Source organism: Homo sapiens, chromosome 19 (assembly GCF_000001405.40).
Source record: "Homo sapiens chromosome 19, GRCh38.p14 Primary Assembly".
Lineage (NCBI taxonomy): Eukaryota > Metazoa > Chordata > Mammalia > Primates > Hominidae > Homo > Homo sapiens.
This window is the reverse complement of record NC_000019.10, coordinates 36,487,443-36,498,263: the sequence shown is the minus strand read 5'-3', so window position 1 is coordinate 36,498,263 and position 10,821 is coordinate 36,487,443. Positions and strand designations below refer to the sequence as shown.

General features: G+C 50.0%; 1 protein-coding gene, 1 long non-coding RNA gene and 1 pseudogene across 11 annotated transcripts in view, besides 5 other annotated features; 2 read left to right on the top strand and 1 right to left on the bottom strand.

Annotated features, from left to right (window-relative positions):
* On the top strand, window positions 1-1,548 carry CTBP2P7 (CTBP2 pseudogene 7; annotated as a pseudogene).
* A 5,675-nt stretch (window positions 1,549-7,223) lies between these two features.
* On the bottom strand, window positions 7,224-8,637 carry ZNF566-AS1 (ZNF566 antisense RNA 1). The gene has a single exon (NR_036504.1). It is a non-coding gene; the product is annotated as a ZNF566 antisense RNA 1 (long non-coding RNA).
* Window positions 7,834-8,719: an enhancer, noted in NCBI's record as "NANOG-H3K27ac-H3K4me1 hESC enhancer chr19:36980447-36981332 (GRCh37/hg19 assembly coordinates)". NCBI's record gives its function as "activates a minimal SCP1, AML or CMV promoter by ChIP-STARR-seq in naive and primed H9 embryonic stem cells {active_cell/tissue: H9 hESC(naive and primed)}" and the evidence as "EXISTENCE:reporter gene assay evidence [ECO:0000049][PMID:30033119]".
* Window positions 7,834-8,773: a biological region, named in NCBI's record as "NANOG-H3K27ac-H3K4me1 hESC enhancer GRCh37_chr19:36980447-36981332".
* Window positions 8,214-8,773: an enhancer, noted in NCBI's record as "active region_14524". NCBI's record gives its function as "activates an Ori minimal core promoter by ATAC-STARR-seq in GM12878 lymphoblastoid cells {active_cell/tissue: GM12878}" and the evidence as "EXISTENCE:reporter gene assay evidence [ECO:0000049][PMID:35858748]".
* ZNF566 (zinc finger protein 566) overlaps window positions 8,703-10,821 on the top strand; it is a 44,443-nt gene continuing 42,324 nt past the window's right edge. For 5 of the 10 annotated variants that reach the window (NM_001437586.1, NM_001437587.1, NM_001437585.1 and 2 more), the window contains exon 1: window positions 8,703-8,778. The gene's annotated coding sequence lies outside the window, so the exon portion shown is untranslated. Of the gene's footprint in view, window positions 8,791-8,828; window positions 8,852-10,821 lie in introns of those variants that run through there. The other 5 variants (NM_001300970.2, NM_001437588.1, NM_001145345.1 and 2 more) reach the window with 2 other exon arrangements.
* Window positions 8,720-9,607: an enhancer, noted in NCBI's record as "NANOG-H3K27ac-H3K4me1 hESC enhancer chr19:36979559-36980446 (GRCh37/hg19 assembly coordinates)". NCBI's record gives its function as "activates a minimal SCP1, AML or CMV promoter by ChIP-STARR-seq in primed H9 embryonic stem cells {active_cell/tissue: H9 hESC(primed)}" and the evidence as "EXISTENCE:reporter gene assay evidence [ECO:0000049][PMID:30033119]".
* Window positions 9,334-9,413: an enhancer, noted in NCBI's record as "active region_14523". NCBI's record gives its function as "activates an Ori minimal core promoter by ATAC-STARR-seq in GM12878 lymphoblastoid cells {active_cell/tissue: GM12878}" and the evidence as "EXISTENCE:reporter gene assay evidence [ECO:0000049][PMID:35858748]".

Here is a 10,821-nt window from a genome sequence, read left to right as displayed (position 1 = left end):
AGGCCTGCTTTGCCTTTTGATCTGAGAGTTGCAAAGTTCCATAAAGAATGGCCCTGGTGGATAAGCACAAAATCACGAGACAGCGATTGGACAGAACTTGTGAAGCTATCCACCCTCAGATCACGAACAGCCCCCTGCACCCCCTCCCGCTGCTGGCGCCGCTGGATGGCTGTGACCTGCACCGTGGAGATGCCCATCCTGAAGGACCTGGCCACTGTGGCCTTCTGTGACGCACAGTCCACGCAGGAGATCCACGAGAAGATTCTAAACAAGGGAGGACCTGGAGAAGTTCAAGGCCCTGAGAGTGATCGTGTGGATAGGCAAGTGGCTACGACAACGTGGACATCAAGGCTGCCAGTGAGCTCCGGATTACTATGTGCAACATCCCCTCCACAGCCGTGGAAGAGGCAGCCAACTCCACTATCTGCCACATCCTCAATCTCTGCCGGAGGAATATGTGGCTGTACCAGACACTGTGGGAAGGCGCGCGGGTTCAGAGCGTGGAGCAGATTCTCGAGGTGGCCATGGGAGTGGCCCTCATTCGTGGAAGACGCTAGGCCTCATGGGCTTCGGTTGCATGAGGCAGGCGGTTGCAGTTTGAGCCAAGGCCTTTGGATTCAGCGTCGTATTTTATGACCCCTACTTGTAGGACAAGATAGAGAGGTCCCAGGGCATGCAGAGGGGACCCTGATACACCCTGCAGGGTTTGCTGTATCAGAGTGACTGTGTCTCGTTGCACTGCAATCTCAATGAACATAACCACCACCTCGTCAATGACTTTACTATAAAGCAGATGAGACAGGGAGCATTCCTTGTGAACGCAGCCCATGGTGGCCTGGTGGATGAGAAAGCCTTAGCACAGGTCCTCAAGGAGGACAGGATAGGAGGGGCAGCCCTTGGCTTGCACGAATCGGAGCCCTTTAGCTTTGCTCAGACTCCGTTGAAAGATGCGCCAAATCTCATCTTCACTCCTCACACTGCCTAGGACAGCATGCAGGCGTCACTGGAGATGAAGGAGGCAGCTGCCACCGAGATCCGCCGAGTCATCACAGGTCGCGTCCCAGAAAGCTTAAGAAACTGTGTGAACAAGGAGTTATTTGTCACATCAGCGCCTTGGTCAGCAATAGACCAGCAAGCAATTCATCCCGAGCTCAACGGTGCAACATACAGATATCCGCCAGGCATCGTGGGCGTGGCTCCAGGAGGACTTCCTGCAGCCATGGAAGGAATCATCCCTGGAGGCGTCCCAATGACTTACAACCTCCTGAGAGTGACACATCCTTCCCAAGCTCCCCTTCCCAACCAGCCCACAAAACATGGGGACAATCGACAGCACCCTAATAAGCAATAGCAGAGAATGCCCAAAGGTAATCATTCAGATACACTTGGGACCATGAGCCAGTGAAAAATAGATGAACTAAGAGAAACAAATTATGGTCTTTTTAACTGATTCTGGACATAGGCATCATTGATGTTGCCGTGCTAAAACTACAAGAACTAGACAACTGAAGATGTCGTCTCTTATGGAAGTGCTGAAAGACTAGGATGTGATTTACTAACAACCGACTTCCGTTATTGTGTGTTAAGTTTTTCATCTGTGCATCAAATCCCAAATAATAAATGGAGCTTTTTTCTTTATCGGTCCCTTGGGCACAGGAGGTCCCGAACACCCTTCTCTAGGATGCTGCATTGAGAGTTCAAACATCGGGCCATGCGCAGTGGCTCATGCCTGTAATCCCAGCACTTGGGAGCCCGAGGCGGGTGGATCACCTGAGGTAAGGAGTTTGAGACCAGCCTGGCCAACATGGTGAAACCCCGTCTCTACTAAAAATACAAAAATTAGCTGGGTGTGGTGGCGAGCGCCTGTAATCCCAGCTACTCCGGAGGCTGAGGCAGGAGAATTGTTTGAACACAGGAGGTGGCAGTAAGCCAAGATCGTGCCACTGCACTCTAGCCTGGGCGAAAGAGCAAGACTGTCTCAAGGAAAAAAGAAAAAGAGTTCAAACATCAAATTAAAAAATATTAAGAGGAAAGCTTCATTCTGTGACTCTAGTCCCGTGACTGTAGTCCCTTCATTCTACAGGGGCTGTTTACCTCTTTTTGCTAGTAGCAAGATCATATAACTACAAAATGTGGAGAAACTGTTTGCCTGTGGTAGATACCTGCACACATAGGATTGAAGACAGTACAGGCTCCTGTGAGACACCTCTGTCCTCTCACATCTGTTTTTTTTGTTTTGTTTTGTTTTGAGATGGAGTCTTGCTCTGTCACCCAGGCTGGAGTGCAATGGCGAGATCTGGACTCACTGCAATCTCTGCCTCCCAGGTTCAAGCGATTCTCCTGCCTCAGCCTCCGGAGTACCTAGGATTACAAGTGTACACCACCACGCCCAGCTAATTTTTGTATTTTTGGTAGAGACTAGGTTCCACCATGTTGGTCAGACTGGTCTCGAACTCCTGACCTCAGGTGACTCGCCCGCCTCTGCCTTCCAAAGTGCTGTGATTACAGGAGTGAGCCACTGCGCCCGGCCCCTCACTCACATCTGAATTGCATACTGAGTGGGCAAGTTGGTTATAAGTTCAGTAAAACCCTCTGATGATGCAAAAAAAAGTATTATGTTTCACAAGCTGTTTGTACTCAAATACATTTTCTCAGTTTCAGATCCTTTCCTATTTTATTGAGTGGAAAGTCTTGAACTAAAAGTGTTCAGGAAGAATAATGTTGCATTTCCTTATGTCTCCTGAAACACTTTTTTTTTTTTTTTTTTTTTGAGATGGAGTCTTGCTCTGTCGCCCGGGCTGGAGTGCAGTGGCACGATCTCGGCTCACTGCAGGCCCTGCCTCCCAGGTTCACGCCATTCTCCTGCCTCAGCCTCCCGAGTAGCTGGGACTACAGGCACCCGCCACCATGCCCGGCTAATTTTTTGTATTTTTAGTAGAGATGGGGTTTCACTGTGTTAGCCAGGATGGTCTCGATCTCCTGACCTCGTGATCCACCCGCCTCGGCCTCCCAAAGTGCTGGGATTACAGGCGTAAGCCACTGCACCCGGCCGTCCCGAAACACTTTTAATGGTAAGTTGTCATATTGTCTATGAAGAAACCCATTTTTTTAAGACATTAATAAATTCTTCTTTTCTTCATGTGATACTTTATACAAGAACACTTCAGATGTATTAGATTTGACTGATTTTAAACAAATCCTATTAGATTTGTATCAACTAGTTACATGTTCTATTCATAGACTTTTGTGAATCATTGCCTTTTTGTTTAAAAAGATGGCCTATTTTCCAGGCACAGTGGCTCATGCCTGTAATCCCAGCACTTTGACAGACCGAGGCAGGCAGATCACCTGAGATCGGGAGTTCGAGACCAGCCTGACCAACATGGAGAAATCCCGTCTCTACTAGAAACCCAAAATTAGCCACGCGTGGTAGTGCATGCCTGTAATCCCAGCTACTTGGGAGGCTGAGGCAGGAGAATTGCTTGAACCCAGGAGATGGAGGTTGTGGTGAGCCGAGATCATGCCATTGCACTCCAGCCTGCCTGGGCAACAAGAGCGAAACTCCAACTCAAAAAAAAAAAAAAAAAAGATGGCCTATTTCAAGCCTTTGCATAGTACATTCCTGTTTTTGTGACAAAAGAAAAACTTTAAAATTGCCCCAAACAGAAAAATAATGGCTATATGTTTTATTCTATTTTAACTTTTTTTTTGAGATGGAGTCTTTGCTCTGTCACCCAAGCTTGAATGCAGTGGCATGATCTTGGCTGGCTGCAACCTCTGCCTCCCAAGTTCAAGCAGTTCTCCTGCCTTGGCCTCCCGAGTAGCTGGTATCACAGGTGTGTGCCACCATGCCTAGCTAATTTTTGTATTTTTAGTAGAGACGGGGTTTCACCATGTTGCCCAGGCTAGTCTCAAACTCCTGACCTCAGGTGATCAGCCCACCTCAGCCTCACAAAGTGCTGGGATTATAGGCGTGAGCCACCAGCCTGGCCCAGTTGATAGTTTCAACTATGTAAATCATTACACTGATTCCTACTGATCATTCTCATTGCCAGCATTCCTGAACTTAAATTGGCTCTGGAAATTCTCCAACCATAGTGAATCCTATTTTCTATGACCCCATAAATATTGGGCATTGTTGCGGTATGTTAGAATACGAGCCCGTGGTTGGGAAAGGCAGTATCATATATGCAGTCTTTCTACCTCTATGTGGCCACATAAGAATGACATCTGACCTGCAACATTTCCTTACCAAGAGATACGGATCCCACATGGGCTGTGCAATGTATTTGTGTTTTAAGCTAAGCGATATTACAGAAAAGTCAAAAAGCTTTTAAAAATTTGAACATTTATAAAGTAGAAAAGTTACAGCAAGCAAGGGTTAATTTATTATGGAAGAAAAACTTTAAATACATGTAGTGTTGCTTAAGTGTACAATGTTTATAAAGTCTAGAGTGTTGTACTGTAATGTCCTAGCCTTCACATTCACTCACCTCTCATCGACTCTCCAGAGCAACTTCCAGTCCTGCAGCCTCCATTCTTGGTAAGTACCCTATACAAGTGTACCATTTTTTACTTTTCATGCTGTTTTTTTTACTGTACCTTTTGTGTGTTTAGATATGTTTAGATACATAAATACTTACCATTGTGTTCTGTGGGCAGCAAGCCACCCAGGTGCCGAGGCAAGAGACCGAGGGCATGGGCTGTTTCAGTATAATAAAATATATAAAATAACAAGAATTACACTAGATACAGATCACAGATATGATTATACACAAGTATCACTAATCATTAGTTTGTAGTAATTACTCTTTATTCAAATATTATAATAATCTTCACTCTACAATCATAACCTAGGAAAAACCAGGCCATACAGAGGTATGAGCTGAAGGGACATGGTGAGAAGTGACCAGAAGACAAGTGTGTGAGCCTCTGTTATGCCCGGACAGGGCCACCAGAGGGCTCCTTGGTCTAGCGGAACGTTAGCGTCTGGGAAGACGCCTGTTACCAAGCGGATTGTGGTCTAGCAGTAGCGTCAGTGCCAAGGAAAAGCACCCACTACTTAGCAGACCAGCAAAGGGAGTCTCCCTTTCCCCGGGGGAGTTTAGAGAAGACTCTACTCCACCATGTCTTGTGGAGGGCCTGACATGAGTCAGGCCCGCCCGCAGTTATCTGGAGGTCTAACCGTCTTCCTGTGATGCTGTGCTTCAGTGGTCACACTACTGGTCCGCTTTCATGTTCCATCCTGTACACCTGGCCCTGCCTTCTAGATAGCAGTAACAAAATTAGTGAAAGTACTAAAAGTCTCTGATATGCAGAAATAATGCGTAAGCTGTCTTCTCTCTCTCTCCGCTTCAGCTGCCAAACAGGGAAGGGCCCCCTGTCCAGTGGACACGTGACCCACGTGACCTTACCTATCATTGGAGATGGCTCACACTCCTTACCCTGCCCCCCTTGTCTTGTATCCAATAAATAACAGTGCAGCCTGGCATTCGGGGCCACTATCAGTCTCTGTGTCTTGGTGGTAGTGGCTCACCCGGGCCCAGGTGTCTTTTATCTCTTTGTCTTGTGTCTTTATTTCTACCACCTCTAGTCTCTGCACACAGGGAGAAAAACCCACAGACCTTGTAGGGCTGGTCCCTACAGTGTTCCAACTGTATTCAGTACAGTAACATACTGTATAGCTTTGTAGTTTAGGAGCAACAGGTTATACCATGTAGCCTAAGTGTTCAGTCAGCTATACCATCTAGGTTTGTGTCAGTACACTCCATAATGATGAAATTGCCCAACAATGCATTTCTCAGAATGTATCCTTTTTTTTTTTGAGACCGAGTCTCACTCTGTCGCCCAGGCTGGAGTGCAGTGGTGCAATCTTGGCTCACTGCAACCTCTGCCTCCTGGGTTCAAGCGATTCTCCTGCCTCAGCCTCCCGAGTAGCTGGGACTACAGGCGCGCACCACCATGCCCGGCTAATTTTTGCATTTTTAGTATAGACGGGGTTTACACCATGTTGCCCAGGCTGGTCTCAAACCCCTCAGCCTCCCAAAGTGCTGGGATTTCAGGCGTGAACCACCGCACCCGGCCAGAATATATCCTTATTATTTATTTATTTATTTTTTTTTAATTGATCATTCTTGGGTGTTTCTTGCAGAGGGGGATTTGGCAGGGTCATAGGACGATAGTGGAGGGAATGTCAGCAGATAAACAAGTGAACAAAGGTCTCTGGTTTTCCTAGGCAGAGGACCCTGCGGCCTTCGGCAGTGTTTGTGTCCCTGGGTACTTAAGATTAGGGAGTGGTGATGACTCTTAACGAGCATGCTGCCTTCAAGCATCTGTTTAACAAAGCACATCTTGCACCGCCCTTAATCCATTTAACCCTGAGTGGACACAGCACATGTTTCAGAGAGCACAGGGTTGGGGGTAAGGTCACAGATCAACAGGATCCCAAGGCAGAAGAATTTTTCTTAGTACAGAACAAAATGAAAAGACTCCCATATCTACGTCTTTCTACACAGACACGGCAACCATCCGATTTCTCAATCTTTTCCCCACCTTTCCCGCCTTTCTATTCCACAACACCGCCATTGTCATCATGGCCCGTTCTCAATGAGCTGTTGGGTACACCTCCCAGATGGGGTCGTGGCCAGGCAGAGGGGCTCCTCACTTCCCAGTAGGGGCGGCCGGGCAGAGGCGCCCCTCACCTCCCGGACGGAGAGGCTGGCCGGGCGGGGGGCTGACCCCCCCCCACCTCCCTCCCGGACGGGGCGGCTGGCCGGGCAGAGGGGCTCCTCAATTCCCAGTAGGGGTGGCCAGGCAGAGGCGCCCCTCGCCTCCCGGACGGGGCGGCTGGCCGGGCGGGGGACTGACCCCCCCACCTCCCTCCCGAACGGGGCGGCTGGCCGGGCGGGGGGCTGACCCCCCCACCTCCCTCCCGGACGGGGCGGCTGGCCTGGCGGGGGTGACCCCCACCTCCCTCCCGGATGGGGTGGCTGCCGGGCGGAGACGCTCCTCACTTCCCAGACGGGGTGGCTGCCGGACGGAGGGGCTCCTCACTTCTCAGACGGGGCGGCTGCCGGGCGGAGGGGCTCCTCACTTCTCAGACGGGGCGGTTGCCAGGCAGAGGGTCTCACTTCTCAGACGGGGCGGCCGGGCAGAGACGCTCCTCACCTCCCAGACGGGGTCGCGGCCAGGCAGAGGCGTTCCTCACATCCCAGACGGGGCGGCGGGGCAGAGGCGCTCCCCACATCCCAGACGATGGGCGGCCTGGCAGAGACGCTCCTCACTTTCCAGACTGGGCAGCCAGGCAGAGGGGCTCCTCACATCCCAGACGATGGGCGGCCAGGCAGAGAAGCTCCTCACTTCCCAGATGGGGTGGCGGCGGGGCAGAGGCTGCAATCTCGGCTCTTTGGGGGGCCAAAGCAGGCGGCTGGGAGGAGGTTGTAGCGAGCCGAGATCACGCCACTGCACTCCAGCCTGGGCACCATTGAGCACTGAGTGAACAAGACTCCGTCTGCAATCCCGGCACCTCGGGAGGCCGAGGCTGGCGGACCACTCGCGGTTAGGAGCTGGAGACCAGCCCGGCCAACACAGCGAAACCCTGTGTTTGGTGGAGACCAAAAAAATACGAAAACCAGTCAGGCGTGGCGGCGCGCGCCTGCAATCGCAGGCACTCGGCAGGCTGAGGCAGGAGAATCAGGCAGGGAGGTTGCAGTGAGCCGAGAGGGCAGCAGTACAGTCCAGCTTTGGCTCGGCATCAGAGGGAGACCGTGGAAAGAGAGGGAGAGGGAGACCGTGGGGAGAGCATATATCCTTATTATTAAACTATGCATGACTGTGTATACAATACCTTTATAGGTCAAAAGCAGTCAAATACTGGCCATGAGATACACTTAGTCCAAGTACACAAATAATTGCAGAAGGAGAAAGTGAAACTCCTCTTACTTCCTGCCCCACTCATTTATCACAAAGCACACAGAAGTCAGAATAACACCTGCCCTTTGCAATTTCAGACTCCTCTCTTTCTGCCTCTCCAAACCTGTCCCACGTTTGGCGATTCCTTTCCCTTCGACCTCCCCCCATCAGGTCGCAGGTTCCTGGTCTACACCCCTTCTGCGTCCCCAACCACTTCTGAGTCTCACAACCTCTGGTCCCATAACCCCTCTGCACTAAGGAGCAATAAACAAAATTCACGCCCGAACAAAGAGGCCAAAACAGCAACCCAGGATGTTTGCGCCTGCGCACTCTGGGCGCACAGTACTCAGGCCGGCAGCCCAGCACCGGCTTATCTGTGAGAGCAATTAAGATGACTTTCGGAGGGTCCAACCGCCTTCCCAGCTCCGAACTACATCTCCCAGAAGGCTCAGTTGTGCGATTATCTTTCCATGCAGACTTGTCCTCTTTCTGAGGCTGTCCAGCGCCTGGGGGCAGTAGGACGGGTCCGGGAACTAAGCCCATCTCAAACACGTCGGAGTGGCTTTCTTTGGGGGCCAAGGCCCGAGCCTGAGGCGGGACTCCATGAGGCCTCTGGGGCGCGAGCGGTTTGACTAGGGGGGGCGATCCTTTCGGCGGGGCTGACGCAAGGCGCGGACAGGAATTCTGACGATCGGGAACCATCTTGTCCGGCCTTGATACGTCTCTGACTACGCTTCCCAGAGGTCTCCTCGGCAAGACTGTACTTCTCGCGGTAATTCAGCTTCCAACTCACGCGCTGGCGGGACCCTCAGGGCTTTACCAGCAACTACCCCAGTGCCGGGGAGGGTTCTGCTGCTTCGAAAGCTGGTAAGGCCTGAGGTGAGAAACCCGGGAGAGGGCGGGGCCGGGGGCCAAGCCTCGGCTTTGTGCGGCGGTGGAGGTGAGATTGAAAGCGTGCGCTTGCGTCTGTGTGGAGGTGTGTGGTGAATGATCGCGCGATTGTGACAGGCTGCCCTTGTGATGAGTGTGTTTCCAACGCTCACACCGTGTGCAGCACGGCCTCGGAGACTGTGGCTGCTGGTGTGTGTGTGAGAGGGAGCAGGACCACGTGCGGCATTGTGTGTGCGGCTGTGGGGAGCTTGTGCCTGGTTGAGTGTTACTGCGTTTGTCCCCGTAGTGGTGTGCGACTATATGCTGTGTGACTGTGTGCGGCAGAGTTCAGGTGGGGATACCTGCGAGTAACTGCATGTTTCTATCTGTGTGTGTGGCTGTGGTTAATGTGTGATCGTGACTGTGACCCGGTACAGGTGTGCGCCGACTGTGACAATGTGGTTGTGACTGTGACTGCCTCCTCGGTAAGCGTGCACTTGTGCTTATGTGACCGATAGAGGCCCTGCGTGTGCGACCCTGTTGCTTTGGGCGTGGATTGTCTGTAGCTGAATGTCCCCATGGTGGGAGTGTGATCAGGTTTGTGTGGCAGGGTAAGTCACACAGTGTGAGGTTTTATCACTTACGTATACTTCTCTAGGCATTATACTCCAGTTTTTCCCCGTTTTAAAACTTTATATGAATGTTGTCATACTGTCTTTGGTTTATTTTTACAATTCTGTGAATCATCCCTATTAGATAAAATCGCGGTTAATTCAATTTCTTTGCTATATTCTCCCTTCTGAAGTATACCACAATTATTCATCCTTTCTAGTAATGATGCCCTATTAGTTATTTATAGCTTTTCATTTTATAAACAACACAGCCACATTCTTTCACATGGGGTACACATGCTTGAGTTTATTTACCAGCAGAATTGCCGGTTCATATATCTTCCACTTTACTAAACAGTGTCAAAATATATACCCGAGTGGCTGCACAAATTTGTACTTGAACAGCAATGTTTGAAATATCTTATTGCTCCATATCCCTACCAAAGCATAGTTCCAAGAGTTAAAAAAATTTTTGTAGGCCAAGTGTGGAGGCTCATGCGTGTAATCCCAGCACTTTGCCAGGCCAAGGTGAGAGGATCACTTGAGGCCAGGAGCTGGAGACCAGCCTGGGCAACATAGTGAGACCCTAACTCTACCATAAATACATACATACATAAAAAATTAGCCGGGCATGGTGGCTGGCACCTATAAGTCCTAGCTACTCAGGAGGTTGAGATGAGAGGATCGCTTGAGCCCAGTGCTTTGCAGCTGCAGGAAGCCATGATCATACCACTGCCCTTCAGCCTGGGCAACAGAGCAGGAGGCTGTCAATAGATACATAGAGCCTATATAAAGTGTGCAAATCTTAAGTGTACAGCTGTGTAACACTCTTAGATCTATACAAAGAACTTTGCCAGGACCTGAGATGCTTCCCTCATACCACTTCTCAGTAATTTCTCCCCCACACAATCTATTCAGAATTCTATCATTAACTAGTTTTACCCATTCTTTTTTTTTTTTTTTTTTTTTTTTTTGAGACAGAGTCTTGCTCTTGTCACCCAGGCTGGAGTGCAGTGATGCAATCTTGGCTCACTGCAACCTCCGCCTCCTGGGTTCAAACGATTCTCCTGCCTCAGCCTCCTGAGTAGCTGGGATTACAGGCACCCATCACACCCGGCTAATTTTTGTATTTTTAGTAGAGACAGGGTTTCCCCATGTTGGCAAAGCTAGTCCTGACCTCAGGTGATCCGCCCACCTTGGCCTCCCAAAGTGCTGGGATTACAGGCATGAGCCAGTGCATCTGGCTGTCTTACACATTCTTGAACTTCATGTATATATGCAATTATGCAGCATGTACTGTTTTATGCCAGGCTTCTTTTGTTATATATTATGTTTGTGAAATTCATTCATGTTGTTCAGTGTAATTGTACTTAGCTCTCACTATACTGGGGATATATTGTAGTATATTAGTCGATTACATTGTTGATGG